This window comes from Homo sapiens, chromosome 2 (assembly GCF_000001405.40).
Source record: "Homo sapiens chromosome 2, GRCh38.p14 Primary Assembly".
Taxonomy (NCBI): Eukaryota; Metazoa; Chordata; class Mammalia; order Primates; family Hominidae; genus Homo; species Homo sapiens.
The window spans coordinates 173,918,125-173,934,069 of NC_000002.12; the positions used below are offsets into that span (position 1 = coordinate 173,918,125).

The window sequence follows — 15,945 nt, forward strand, 5'->3', positions numbered from 1 at the left end:
AAAAAGACTGAACTGAAATACAATCCCATTTTTTAAAAAATTCAATCTATTAAGGCTTATTTTTCACTTCTAAGAAAATGGAAATACTTATGCTTATCAGCCATTCCTGAACTTAATTTTTACGTAACTACTATTCTCAACCTAAAAAATCAACTTTTTATCTATATTTAGGCAAATTCCATTGCTGGTTTGCAAACAGGCTAATTTCTGATCAGTGTGGGCCTGTTAAATGGCATCTGCTGTACTATTTTTGAAACAGCAAACTAATAATTTTAGTTTAAAAAACATTGAGAACTGAAAATCCAATTCCATATATTTTGTTCTCTAACTTCTGCCACACGCATACACACACACCAAAAATGATCATGTAATAATTTCTCATAATTAAATGACATAGCATGCAGTATTTCAAAAATCAGAATGATATTAGCACTCTTAAAAATATATATGTGTTTCATGTATGCATACCTTCCACCACCTTCTTTACAGTTGGGACAGGTGCAAGCTACCCTCCGAAGTCTTTTTCCTTCTTGATGTTGTTGGTCCCCTTCTTCATCTACCACCTGTACTCTTAAGTGTGTTAGGTCATTGGTATTCAAGGTAGAATCACCACTGAGCTGCCACTCTTCAGGATCAGGTTCTTCTTCCTTGATCCTAATATCTAAAGGGAAAAAAAAACCAAATACAGATGAGAAGCAACCAAATGGCCCAAAAAGACAGCATGAAATTACATGTCTTCTCCCAATGTTACAACTTTGCATGCACTACTTCTCTTGCCTAGACTGTTTTCCAGTTATTTTGTTCCTCATCTAACTAACCTCTATTCTTCAAGACTAGTTGGAGAGTAATCTCCTGTATAAATGCTTATAGTAGAATTAATAACATTAATTAGTTCATATGTCCCTTTAGATAATAAATGCTTCACTCAAAGTTCTCGGAAAATACAATCTCCCTAAATGAACAAGTCTTCTGTAAGAAGGAACTTCCAATATAGGTAATAATCTACCTGGAAAAACTTTCTCCTCTACTTTTCTATGCCTTTTATGTGCAAATAATACATAAAGAGATGTTACAAGATTAAGTCAGTTCATATAGATGAGACCACAAAGTGCTCACTAAAGACAATAAATTAATTGCCCAAAAAGTGTTATACCCAATGTCTAATCACTGCACTCATTCATACACATCTGGGTATACTTTCAAATTCTCACCATAAAATCAATTAATGTAGTAAGCCCTAAATAATTCTCCTTTGCATACCAACTTAATACAGATACTTTAAAAATAAGTCTTCAGTACCAGGCACTTAAGTTTACATCTTCCTTGGTATCTCAGTATAGATGACAGGAAAACACTTTTTTTTACTGTGCTGTATTAGTGTCCTACATGGTGGCTAGTTATTCTTAGAAATCCACTATTTATAAGGCTCAGGAGAAACAAAAGTAATAATCCATCAAAATGACCCATAAAAGTAAGAAAAGGTATTCAACATTGTTAAATATCAGGGAAATAAAAATTTAATTCACAATGAGATATCATTACACACCCACAGAAATGACGAGAAATTTTAAAACAGACCGTACAGACTGTTGGCAAAGATGTGGAACAACTGAAACTCCCACAGTGATGGTAGGTGTGTAGATCAGTACAACCACTTTGGAAACTCTTTCATCTGTATCTTCTAAAAGTGAACCTATATATACCCTATAGCTCAAACAATTTCCCCCTAGGTACACAACCTACAGAAATGCATACACTTAACACCAAAATACAAGTACAAAATTTACAGCAATGTTATTTGTAATCACCCTAAACTAGAAAAACTCACATATCCCCTAGTATTGGAATGGAAAAACAAATCATATTTGTTCATACAATGGAACATGTTAAAACAATGAACATTAACAACAACTTACATGCAACAGAAATGAATCTCTCAAAGCATTTCGAACAAAAGAAGCCCCCCCGCACCCCCTATGTATTCCCTTTATATACAGGGAATGGGATCGTGTATGATATTTATATAAAGAAATTTTCATTTATATAAGATTCATAACAATTGGCAATTATTCCAACCATATGACACGTTGGAAAAGGCAAAACTATGAAGACATTAAAAAAGATCAGTGGTTGCCAGGAATTAAAGGGGAGGGAGGGATGAATAGGCACAGCACAGACGTATTTTCATTTCAGAGTACTGAAAATACTATGTATGATGTAATATAGGTGGATGCATGGCATACATTTGTTCAAACTTACAGAATGTATAAACACGAAGAGGGAACCCTAATGTAGAGTATGGACTTTGGGTGATAATACATCAAGCAAATTCATCAACTGTTAACAAATGAACCACTCTGAATGATGGGTGATGTTGACATAGGGAAGGGTATGCATGTGCAGGGGCGGGGGGTAAGGTATATCTCTATACTTCCTTTCATTTTTACTAAGCATCTCAACTGCTCTTTAAAAATTTATTTATTTATTTATTTATTTATTTTTAAGCAGAGTCTTGCTCTGTGGTGGCGTGACCTCGGCTCACTGCAACCTCTGCCTCCCGGATTCAAGTGATTCTCCTGCCTCAGCCTCCCGAGTAGCTGGGATTACAGGTGCCCGCCACCATGCCCAGCTAGTTTTTGTATTTTTAGTAGAGACAGGGTTTCACCATGTTGGCCAGGCTGGTCTCGAACTCCTGACCTCAAGTGATCCACCCACCTCAGCCTCCCAAAGTGCTGGGATTACAGGCATGAGCCACTGAGCCCAGTTTAAAAATAATTATTTAAATGTGAAGGGAGTAGGTGCTCCATGGGGATAGAAGAGTGGTGACTGCCTACTTTTGAGGGACATATATGACTGAGTACAGGGAGATTTCAGGGTTGCTGGTAATATCCTATTTCTTGATCTGGGTGGTAGTTTTCCTATGTGTTCATTTTGTAAAATTTCATCAAGTTATATACATTTGATCTCTACATTTTCTGAATGCATATTGTACTTCAATATAAAGATTATTATAAATTAAATATTTTAACGTAATTTATAGGTGATTACTTAGGAACTGTTAAAGACAATTTTTTTGCTTTACCTCTAGTTCCCACATAGTTGACTAAACCTTCCCCCATTTTTATACAAATAATAAAATGAGTGTGTCCCACAAATTAAATTCATAATATGAAATTTAGAATATGATTTTATTCACTCAACAACTATATGTATGGCTACGATGTGCCAGTCACTGTTCTAAGTTCTAAGGATAAGGCAGTTAGCAAGTTAAAAGTTCATGCTGACTGGGCAGGGTGGCTCATGCCTGTAATATCAGCACTTTGGGAGACCGAAGCGGGAGAAACGATTGAACCTAGGAGTTCAAGACCAGCCTGAGCCAAGAGAGAGCGGTCCCGTCACTATCCAAAAACAAACAAACAAACAAACAAACAAACAAACAGGCCAGGCAGGCATGGTGGCACATGCCTTGTGGTCCCAGCTACTCAGGAGACTGAAGTGGGAGAATCACTTGAGCCCAGGAGGTTCAGGTTGCAGTGAGCCATGATCACATCACTGCCCTCCAGCCTGGGCAACAAAGAAAGACCCTGACACAGTTTAGATATTTGTCCCCATCCAAATCTTATGTTGAAATGCAATCCCCAAAGGTGGAGGTGGAGCCTGGTAGGAGGTGATTGGATCATGGGGGCGGATTTCTCATAAATGGTTTAGCACCACTGTCTTGGCACTGTCCTTGCAATAGTTAAGAGATCTGGTTTAAGTGTGTGGCACCTTCCCTCCTACTCTTTCTCTGTCTCTCACCTCCCTCTACTTCTACCATGTGACGTGCCCATTCCCCATTTGCCTTCTGCCATGAGTAAAAGCTTCTTGAGGCCTTCCCAGACCCAGATGCCAGCACTATGCTTCCGGTACAGCCTGCAGAACTGAGTCAATTAAACCTCTTACAAATTACCCAGTCCCAGATATTTCTATATAGTAATACAGGAATGGCCTGACACAGTCTTAAAAAGAGATGATAGTGGCCTGAAGCTAAGGTATTGAGGAGGAGGGGTAGAATTGTTCAGTCAGAAAATATGTTTAAAGTAGAGTCAAAGACATCTGCTAACAGATTGATAACAGGTTATCATGTGAGGAGCAAGAACAGAAAGAAGTTAAAAACACTCCCAAGGTTTTTTTTTTTTTAAATCCTGAGCAACTAGAAAGATGGAGTTGCCATTAACTGAGATATGGTAAACTGAAGGTAGAAAAGATTGCAGGGGAGGGGTGCCAGTCAGGGGCCTATTTTGAAATATGAAAGTTCTGAATGCCTATTGAATATCCAGATGAAGGTGTTCATCAGACAGTCAATGGGTTTGGAGTTCAGGTAGAAATCTGGCCTGCCAATATCAGCATATACATTAGGCATTGAGAGTCATCTGGAATATAATGTAGACAGGAGGAAACCCTGCAGCACTCCAAAATTAACAAGCAGAGACTAAAAAGAACCAGCATAGGGGACTGAGAGTGCCAGTGAGATATGAGGAAACTGGTGTCCAGAAACCAAACTGAAGAAATCATTTCGGGAAGAACTTAACTGTGTCAAATACTTAAAAAGTCAAGTAAAATAAAGACTAAGAAATGATCCTTGGATATAACATTGTGGTAATCACTGGTGATCTTGACAAGAACTGTGAGCACAAAACCCTGCCTAGTATAGACTCCAGAGAGTGGAAGGAGATGAATTGTAAACAAGTACAGGTTAACTCTTTCCAAGGGTTTTGCTATAAAAGCAAGCATTATAAAATTGGCAGTACAGTTCCTAGGTTAGCCCACAAGGGTAGATTTGACACATAAGGGTACCTGAAGTATTTGTAAATCAGCCTTTATATTCTGTAGCAATAGTGCATGCTAGCAGTATAAAGAAATGAATGTGCTGACTTAAATTTGATTAATATTTGAGGAAAAGTATGCAAAAAATTTAAGCAATGAAAACAGAAATTCAAGGAAATGTGTATGACACATTTAAGAACTTTATAAACAGCACTGTTTTTTTATGTCTATTCTCCACCTCAAAATGTTTAAGTTTCCTTTTCATTTGATGAGTTATTGCACTGACAGTATCTCTGTCCTGTGATTATGGCTGTTTTCAAGGCCTACCAATAAAACAAGCTTGCGAAAGGGGTATGTACAAAAGAAAAAAAAATTCTGCATACCTGGGCAAGAATTGAAGAGAAAAAAACAGAAAATTTAAATAATGAAATATACACACACACCCACACACACAATATGGTTACAAAGATAAGGCTAATTTTCAGTATTAGTTAAGTATCAATAACTCAGGGCATGCCTAGATTTCTATTAAAAATATTACAAGAAAATCCTAAATACCTCTTCCTAAAATTAACTGCTAATTATTTATCAATAGAGCTAACAGAACATTTAAGATAAATTCTTAACCAACTTATCAAGTCTGGAACACGCATACTTAATTTAAATAGCTAACATTAGATAAATATGAATTACAGTATGGTTGATAAAATGAGACATTATCTTTTATCAATAGTGTGCCATTAAGATTTTGTTGTTCTTATCAAAGTCTTTCATATTCTCTGCCTTCAACTTTTTTAAGCACTGAAGTAATTTGATTCTAAATCAAATTTGATTTAGAATCAAATTACTTCATTTGATTCTAAAAGTTTATTTTATTTACATTTTCCCTTTAATCAGCTTCACCTGCCATAAAAATCATCTAACAGAACCACCGGATAATCCTACAATATCTCATGTATTATAAAGTTTCATTATTCCTCAGATTCCTATGGATATTTCAGAGGTACCAAGTTTTTTTTCAACTTTTCTTCTAAGGGGATAGTTCTAAATTATAGATATGAGTTCCTAAAAATATAACTTCACTAATGCTAAAAGAAGTTAACACTTTAGGGGTTAGGTTTTTAAAACTAAATGTTATCCCCTTACCAAATATAATAATAATTTTAAAAATATAGATGGATGGTTAATCACCATCTCTGCTTTAACATCAAGCAATCTCTTCCCCCAAATGCCATCTCCTTAGATTTGGATCATTACTCTTCTATAAACTGCTCCTTTCCTCCCATTTGAAATTAATCTTTTATTAACCTTTCATTTTTATAGCAGTTTTCCAAATTATTTTATATACACATACATATGAACATAACCAGAAATGACTGATTTTCTAATATGTATTACAGAAGATCTCATTTTATAGTCTTACCACAAATATGTGAGAAAAAGATGATGTGACCTGTAATTAGTAAACTGACTAGCGAGATATTCACTTCACCTTATTAAATCTGAAGTACTAGTTAAGCCCCTGTTAAGGGGACTCCTACTCTCTCCAATGATGAATATGATGGCTAAACACATAAGATAAGGATTTACTACTTGTAGAGCACTATTCTAAGTGTTTACATATATTAACTCATGTCATGCTCCCAACTACGCTGAGTTTAATATTATTTTCCCCCTCCTTTCTAGATGAGAAAACAAAGAGGTTATGTAGTTTGCCTGAAGTCACACAGTTGAAAATGGATGGAGCCAGGATGTAAGATGAAAACTGTGCAAAACCATATTGCAGATATTGCTAAAGATCAACTCCCTACCAGGCCAGTTCATTCATAGGAACAGCAGCTTTAAGTTAGCTTCCCTGTATATAAATATATGCAATTTTAATTAGTTTTAGTTTAATTAAATCAAATCAAAGTGAGTTTAAAAATCTAGGAAAGATAAAGAAACTTTAGTACATACATAGACTATTTTTTCTTTGTTTGAGACAGAGTGTCACATCGCCCAGGCTGGAGTGCAGTGGCGTGATCTCAGCTCACTGCAACCTCCACCTCCCAGGTTCAAACTATTCTCCTGCCTCAGCCACCTGAGTAGCTGGGATTACAGGCATGCAACACCACACCCGGCTAATTTCTGTATTTTTAGTAGAGACCGAGTTTCGCCATGTTGGTCAGGCTGGTCTCAAACTCCTGACCTCAGGTGATCCGCCCACCTTGGCATGATCCGCCCACCCAAAGTGCTGGGATTACAGGCGTGAGCCACCACGCTCAGCCACATATGCTATTATATGTGAAATATTCTATTGTATGTATATAGTATGTGTATGTAGCATGTGAAATCCTGTCACACGCTACAACACGGATGAACCTCAAGGACATTATGTTAAGTGAAATAAATGAGTCACAAGACAGCTATGATTCCATGAATATGAAGTACTTAAAGTAGTCAAAATCATACAAACAGCAAGAAAAAAGGTAGTTGCCAAATGGGGGAGAGATGAAAAGGGAAGTTGGTATTTAAAAGGTAGAGTTTCAATTTTGCAAGATGAAAAATTCTAGAGATGTGTTACACAACAATGTGAATACACTTAACATTACTGAACTGTACACTTAAAAATTGTTAAGATGGTAAATTTAATGTTATGTGTTTTTTACAATTTTTTTAAAAATCTGGCAAATCTTCCCTGTTGTCCCACTCCCATAGAGGACTTATTTTAGGAACCTAATGGATAAAATCCTCAATGTCACAGGTAAGAAGGTCAGAGAAACTATGAAGGATACACAGCAATATTACAAGTTATTGTAACACACAATACTCTTTCCTAAGGCTCTGCCTTGTCCCCATAAGCTTTAGGGACTAGTTTTCCCCTCCCCTTCAGATTAAAAAAAAGACTACTTTAAATTTACTATAAAGGTTTTTTTAAAAGCTGTTCTACCAGGTTAAAATAGTACACACACAAAAAGATAAAGTTCTCAGTAATTCCTAACTGCTATCCAATAAACAGCAGGAAAGTGATCTGCTATAAGCAGCTGTAACTCACAACTCTCAAATCAAATGTACTAAAATGTACTAAATGCTCATCTTAAAGGTAGACTGAATTTTTAGGGACAACTAAAGATCTGAAGCTGCCTATTATGAATAAGGTTAAGTATTCAAACTGCTCTTGATTCAAAACAAACTATGACTACAACAGAAATTGGATCTTAATGTAGTTTACCTCCTTTCCCACCTCCCAATCACCTAATCTAAACATTGTATCACAATGTCTAGTCTAACTTAGTCTAACTACTTGAGGACAAAATACACTGTTTTTCAAGCCTCCTTCTTTAGTAAGACCAATGAAGGAAACATACAAAATAGCAATAATATATATTATTTTTTAACCTCATCTCTTGGTATTTAATAGATGTACCTATTATAATCTTATTCTCGGTTTTCATGCCTTCTACCAAATAGATATATATATTTTCTTCCAGGTTCTATGTATGTATTTATGCTACTCACCAAGAATACAAAAATGAGGCAGGTGGTCCCCAGAAAAGCCCTGTCTTTCAACAGGACAAGTGCCAAGCATCCTGTAGAACGCACCAGAGGCTGGGCACGGTGGCTCACGCCTGTAATCCCAGCACTTTGGGAGGCCAAGGAGGGAGGGTCACTTGAGTCCAGGTGTTTGAGACTGGCCTGGGCAACACAGCAAGACCAGTCTCTACCAAAAATAAATTGGGCCACAATGCCCAGATAATTTTAAAATTATTTTTAAGTAATTAAAAAAAATTTTAAGAATGTAAAAATGGCTTCCACATTAATTCTATTAACTAAGTCATTCCAATTGCATATTGCAATAAAACTTAAATTGAATGGCTTGAAGTCGTTTCTTAAAATATTCTAAAAAAAATAGCCATGACAGAACAGATTTGGTTATGCTTTTTAGATAGTATTGTATTAGTCCGTTCTCCCACTGCTATGAAGAGATACCTGAGACTAAGTAATTTATTTTTTTAAAAGGTTTAATTGGCTCATGGTTCTGCAGGCTGTATAGGAAGCATGATTCTGGCATCTGCTCTGCTTCTGGGGAGGCCTCAGGAAACTTACAATCATGGCAGAAGGCAAAAGGAGAGCTGGCAAGTCACATGACCAGGGCAGCAAGAGGGTGGCAAGAGGTGCCACACACACTTAACTAGATCTCACAAGAACTCACTATCACCAAGACAACACCAAGGAGGATGGTGGTAAGCCATGGGAAACCACCCCCATGATCAAATCACCTTCCATCAAGTCCTTCCTCCCACATTGGGGATTACAATTGAACATGAGATTTGGGTGGGACTTCCAAACCATATCAACTATATATCTTTTTTTTTTTTTTTTAAGACAGGGTTCTCACTCTGTCGCCCAGGGTGGGGTACAGTGGTGTGATCTCCGCTCACTGCAACTTCCACTTCCCAGGGTTCAAGCAATTCTCCTATCTCAGCCTCCCGAGTAGCTGGGACTACAAGTGTCCGCCACCACGCCCGGCTAATTTTTGTATTTTTTAGTAGAGACTGGGTTTCACCATGTTGGCCAGGCTGGTCTCGAACTCCTGACCTCAGGTGATCTGCCGGCCTCGGTCTCCCAAAGTGCTGGGATTACAGGAATGAGCCACCCCACCCGACCTATATCATTCTTATAACTTGTTGAAATGCAATGGTAATGGCATATATCACAATATAAACTCATTTTCTCAAATTTAAGTAACTTGAGATCCTTTTAAGCTTTATAAAGTATTTTAATTAAACTTTGGAAAACAGTATTATTTACTATTTCAACTTTCAATTATTTGTGTATCGCTTTAAAAATACATCAAAAACTTCTAAAATTCAAAACCTTCAGGGCATCAGTTATTTAAGATAGTTATGATATCTTGAACAAAAATTTCTCCAGAATCAATTACACATTTACCTACTTTCCTTGGCAGGAAGCTCAGAACGTTATTTAATCTTTGTCTAATTATTCCAATTCATTATTAAAAGTAATTTATGGTATCAAATAGGCCCTAGAACACTGAACTAAAAACATTCATAATTATAGTTTTTTATTTCTTCTACTTGTTTTTCCTGCCTTCTTCCCAACTCTGGTGATATCAACTCTCCATCCTCCACCTCCCAGGTTACCGTACCCATCATCCCTTCTACTGTACATTTTCTAAGCCAGTTTTAAATTTGGAAAGCAGTCGGAATTGTTAAAACTGTATATAAACATTAAATAAATTAGGACTAAAGAAAGGATCTAAGGCTACTCTTAAGAAACTCAAACCCTTCAAAATGAAGATGGCCACGGCAGGTATATCTGCTTCAGTACAGGAAATTTCAAACTGTTAAGTGTCAGCAGAGAAGAGGGCCCCAGGCCCTCATGTAAGTCAGAGCAGCCCCATTAATATTAGTTTTATACACTGGAGTTCTGCCTAAGATGTCATTTGAGGAAAAGGCTCTGCTCTAGCACTGGACTAAAACTGATGTTTCTGCCACTGCTGCAATGGCTAGGGGGAAAACAACCAACCAACAACAACAAAAACACATGGTTTGGGGTTTTCTTCCTTCATTAAAAAAAAAAAAAAGCAGAACTGCCTGTAAATAAAATGATTCCGTTCCAACACTTTCTGCAGACTGTAAACAATCCTGAGTTGGTATCAATATAAATAGAAGAAAAAATGCTTTAAATGATCCACTAAACGACACCTATGTATTGCTTTGAACCCCTAGTTATTTACAAGCTTCATTGTTTTCTATTTTCCCGTGTCTGCTACCTAAATCATCTCTGCCGTATTACCTATATAATTAGAGGACCCTTAGTCACCATGTGGTTGGCTTTCACAAAGAATAAAAGCCAAAGACCTGGATCTTGGCAGTTTTAGAATTTATACATTTTTCTTTTGCCCTCCAATTTTTACATATTTGATTCAAACATTTATTGAACAACTATATTGAGCGAACATTTGTTGACCAAAATTATAATCTAACACATTAATCAGAATCAGTGAAGCTGTGCTACAGTAACATCAATCACAAAAGCTCAATGGCTTTGATACAACAAAAATTTATTTTTCACTAATTTCAAATGTCCAATTCAGGTTGGTAAGGGAGATGTGATCATGACAGTGCCTCAGGAGTCCAGGCTCCCCTTGATACATGCTTCCAGGCTCCACTTGATACATGCTTCCAAGGTTGCCTTGCCAAAGGTGAAAGAAAACGTGGCAAATCACATTCTGTTCTTTAACTTCCACTCACATTTTACTGGTTACAAAAAGGCACGTGGCCATGCCCGACATTAAGAATTAAAGGAAAGGGCAATTCAATGATTATTTTATGAAGAATCATGACTCCCTAGTCCCCTGCTGTCAAATATTTATTCTTCCCACATGAAAAAATACACCTGTCCCTCCATTCAGAAGGTAACCCAAATATCCCATCCAGTCTCAGCATCAAGATCAAAGGACAGGATCTGCGCTGATGGGGAAATCACCTCTATATCAAGTCCAGATGCAGCCCCTCTTCACAGAGACCTATTTATTAAAACAAGTTATCTACTTCCCTTCACACACACAATACACACTGACAGAATATAAAAAATGCTCCAGTTCAAAAGAAGAAAAGAAGACAACAGTCAGTAGTTCATAGCAATTCATAAGCCAGGCTGAACAGATTGTGCAAGGGCTCTCTGTCCTGGAAGGTGGGGAATGCTCTGACTGACCCTTGGGAGGAGTTTCTAAGTCTGCTGTTCTCTGTGCCTCTAGGTTCTGCCTTCTGGAAGGTTTTTCCTGGTCTGTTATCTTCTAACGCTACAAGTGAAGTGAGCATCAGAGAGTGTGACTCCTTAGCAGAGCAGAATTCTCAGCAGGCAGATAGGTCAGGGAGGTATGGGGCAGAGAGCAAGATCATTATGTATCAAGCAGTTATACTTTATTCAGACTTTTGTCTATGCCTCTCCCTGAAAAAATTAGAAGGCTTATCTATTTGATTCTATCCAATTCCAAGCGCCAATGTCCAGAACCAAAGCTTTTTTCTAAGATATGCCTCTTAGATTTACTACTTTTCTTTGCTTTCTTGCCCCATGAGACAGTGTGTCTATTTCTCTCTAACTATGGGTACCTTGAGTTTACCTGGCTTTAGCAGGGGTTCCATACCTTTAGTCTCTTTTCCCTAACCCAACTGAAAAGCAATTCCCTCTCAAGTTGGCCTTTACTCTGAATTACCTTAATCCTTTCAGACATTTTAACAATGGAAGTGATGGTCATAACCCTGACTGGATCCTACCAAAAGGATGAATTTTAATTATCTACTCAAAAGCCTTTTCAGTTGTGTCTCCTACTGATTGGAGGTAAGAAGCAACTACTGGTCAGGCACAGTCGCTCATCCCAGTACTTTGGGAGGCCAAGGTGGGAGGATTGCTTGAGCCCAGGAATTTGAGACTAGCCTGGGTAACACAGGGAGACTGCCTCTAATTTAATTAAAAAGAAAAAAAAAGGTGCAGCAGTAATTGCTTCTTCTAATCCTACAAATTCCCAAATTTCTGGACTCTGTATTGCTTTTCATTCATACTTGCAAACTAACCAATTATTTTCTAGCTCATCTCTTTCTTATAACACCTTGTCAAATGAAACCAGTACCAGTTAAAATACAATTTGTTTTCCAACCTTGTCCCAAAAGCTTCAAATGCATTAAATATATTACTTGCCTTCCAAGTTACTGCACGTTAAGTTTTATATAATAATATTGTTCTCTGCATCGTCATGTTTCTAGCATCTAACATCAGTTTCCTTGCTGCCTGATCCTCAGGCCAATGCCACAGTTGAAGTTTTTTGTTAGAGCATACTATTCCTTGTATAAATTTTGACTTAAGTGATGATAGGCTGTAATAATATAGGTGCTGTCTAATAGAAATACAATGCAAGCCACGTACGTTAACTTCAAATTTTCTAACAGCCACATTAAAAAAGTAAAACTCAAAGGTAAAATTAACTTTAATATATTTCATTTAACCTAATATAGACATACCTCAGAAACACTACAAATTTGATTCCAGACAAGTACAATAAAGCTAATATTGCAATTAACCAAGCCACACATTTTTTTGGTTTCCCAGTACATATGTTTATACTATACTGCAGTCTATTAAGTGTGCAACAGCATTATGTCTAAAAAAACAAAAAGTACATTAATTTAAAAAAACTTTACAGCTAAAAAATGCTAACAATCATCTGAGCCTTCAGTAAATCGTAATCTTTTTGCTGGTGGAGGGTCTTGCCTCAAAGTCAATTGCTGCTGACTGATCAAGATGGTGGTTGCTGGCTAGGCGCGGTGGTTCACATCTGTAATTCCAGCACTTTGGGATGCCAAGGCGAGCAGATCACTTGAGGTCAGGAGTTCGAGACCAGCCTGGCATTTTTGTTGTTGTTGTTTTTGAGATGGAGTCTCGCTCTGTTTCCCAGGCTGGAGTGCAGTGGTGCAATCTCGGCTCACTGCAACCTCCACCTCCCGGGTTCAAGCGATTCTTCTGCCTCAGCCTCCCGAGTAGCTAGGACTACAGGTGTGCGCCATCATGCCCGGCTAATTTTTGTATTTTCAGTAGAGATGGGGTTTCACCATATTGGCCAGGCTGGTCTTCAACTCCTGACCACGTGATCCTCCCACCTCGGCCTCCCAAAGTGCTGGGGTTACAGGTGTGAGCCACCACGCCCAGCCGGAAAATCTGTTGTTTAGTGTGGCCATTTTCATCAATGATCTTAGCTTCCGGATAACTTCTTGCAGCTTCTACATCAGCACTTGCAGCCTTGTCTTTATGTTATGGAAACAGTTTCTTTCCTTAAACCTCATGGACCAGTATTCTGCTAACTTCCAACTCTTTCTGCAGCTTCCTCACCTCTATCAGCATTCACAGAATTGAAGAGTTAGGGGCCTTGCTCTGGATTAGGCTTTGGTTTAAAGGAATGTTGTGGCTGGTATATCTGGCCAGACCACTAAAATTTTCTCCATATCAGCAATGAGACTGTTTTGCTTTCTTATCACGTGTTCACTGGACTAGGACTTTTAATTTCCTTCAAGAACTTTTCCTTTGCATTCACAACGTGGCTGTGTGGCACAAGAGGCCCAGCTTCTGGTCTATCTGGGCTTTCAATATGCTTTCCTCACTAAGCTTAATTATTTCTAAGCTTTTGACTTAAAGTGAGATATGTGCAATTCTTCCTTTCACTTGAACACTTAGAGGCTACTGTAGGGTTATTATCAATTTGCCTAGTTTTTTCTTTTTCTTGAGACAGAGTTTTGCTCTTTTGCCCAGGCTGGAGTACAATGGCGTGATCTCAGCTCACTGCAACATCTGCCTCCTGGGTTCAAGCAATTGTTCTGCCTCAGCCTCCCAAGTGGCTGGGATTACAGGCGCCTGCCATCACGCCCGGCTAATTTTTGTATTTTCTGTAGAGATGGGTTTCACCATGTTGGCCAGGCTGCACTTGAACCCCTGACCTCAACTGATCCGCCCATCTCGGCCTCCCAAAGTGCTGGGATTACAGGAGTGAGCCACCGTGCCTGGAACTGGCCTAGTTTCAATATTGTTGTGTCTCAGGGAGGAGGGAGGCCCGAGGAGAAAGATGAGGAAACGGCTGGTCGTTGCAACAGTCAGAACATACAACCTTTATATCAATTAAGTTCACCTTCTATGGGTGCATGGTCTGTTGTGCCCCAAGACAATTACAACAGTAACATCAAAGACCACTGATTACGGATCACTGTTAAGAAGTATAATAATAATGAAGGTCGGGCGCAGTGGCTCACGCCTGTAATCCCAGCACTTTGGGAGGCCAAGGCAGGTGGATCACGAGGTCAGGAGATTGAGACCATCCTGGCTGACACGGTGAAACCCCGTCTCTACTAAAAATACAAAACATTAGCCAGGCTTGGCGGTGGGGTCCTGTAGTCCCAGCTACTCGGGAGGCTGAGGCAGGAGAATGGCCTGAATCCCAGAGGCAGAGCTTGCAGTGAGCCAATATAGCACCACTGCACTCCAGGCCTGGGCGACAGTACGAGACTGTCTCAAAAACAAAAATAAAAAATAATAATGAAAAGGTTTGAAATATTCCAAGAATTGCCAAAATGTGACACAGGGACACAAAGTGATCACGTTCTGATGGAAAAATGGGGTCAACAGACTTGCTCAAATGCGAGGTTGCCACATTCTTCATTTTTTTTTAAGTAGTATCTGTGAAGCACAATAAGATAAAGCATGCCTATATATCCAAAGAATTAAATTTCAATCTTTTATCAATAATACAAATTATTCATGAAATGTTTTACATTCTATTTTTTATACTAAAACTTGAAAATTCAATTTGTATTTTATTACACTTACAGCACATCTCAATTCAGTCTAGCCACATTTCGAGTGCTTAATAGCATCACAGGGCTAATGGCTCCCCTATATAACAGAGCAGGGCAAAATTAAGTTGCAGTAACAACCCCTCAAATCACAGTGGCTTAAAACAAAGGTCTATTTTTTATTCACATCCATCATAAGTCAGCTGATGCTGCTTTCCTGACTTATGAATCAATGTTAATGGATCAATCACCATGACGTATTTCATTGGCCAAAGCAAGCTCCATGGCTACACCCAACTTCGGTGTGCCCATGAAGAGAACCAGAAATATTAGGAAGACAGTACAAATGACTAACATTTATAAAACTTTATATATATATATATATATATATATATATATATAAAAGTTATAAAGTAACATTTATAAAATCACAATTTAAAACTTTCAAACCGTTTTCAATAAATTCTACCTTTATTTTCCTTTTGCTCTGATATAACCCTGCTTCAAAAAGCAAATGAAATGATAAAGTGGTAGAGCTATACTACTTGAATAAACTACTTCCATTAACTAGATAAAACAGTAAATCTAAGACAAATAAAATTTCTTTACCATGGAACATCATTTGCCCTTCAACGAAATTCCTGAAGATTTAATAAAAGCAAATGAAAAGCGGAAATAAGAGTTGGATGTGGTGGTGTACATCTGTAGTCCCAGTTACTTGGAGGCAGAGGTGGGAGGATAGCTTGAGCCCAGGTGTTCAAGACCAGCCTAGGCAACATAGTGAGACCCCATCATTACA

At 38.0% G+C, this 15,945-nt stretch overlaps 1 protein-coding gene across 3 annotated transcripts in view; it reads right to left on the bottom strand.

The window, feature by feature from the left end:
• The window catches only part of SP3 (Sp3 transcription factor), a 64,928-nt gene that overhangs the window by 17,350 nt on the left and 31,633 nt on the right, over nucleotides 1–15,945 (bottom strand). For all 3 annotated transcript variants that reach the window (NM_003111.5, NM_001017371.5, NM_001172712.1), the window contains one exon: nucleotides 469–661. In NM_003111.5, the coding sequence (NP_003102.1) occupies nucleotides 469–661 (193 nt within the window). The remainder of the gene's footprint in view (nucleotides 1–468; nucleotides 662–15,945) is intronic.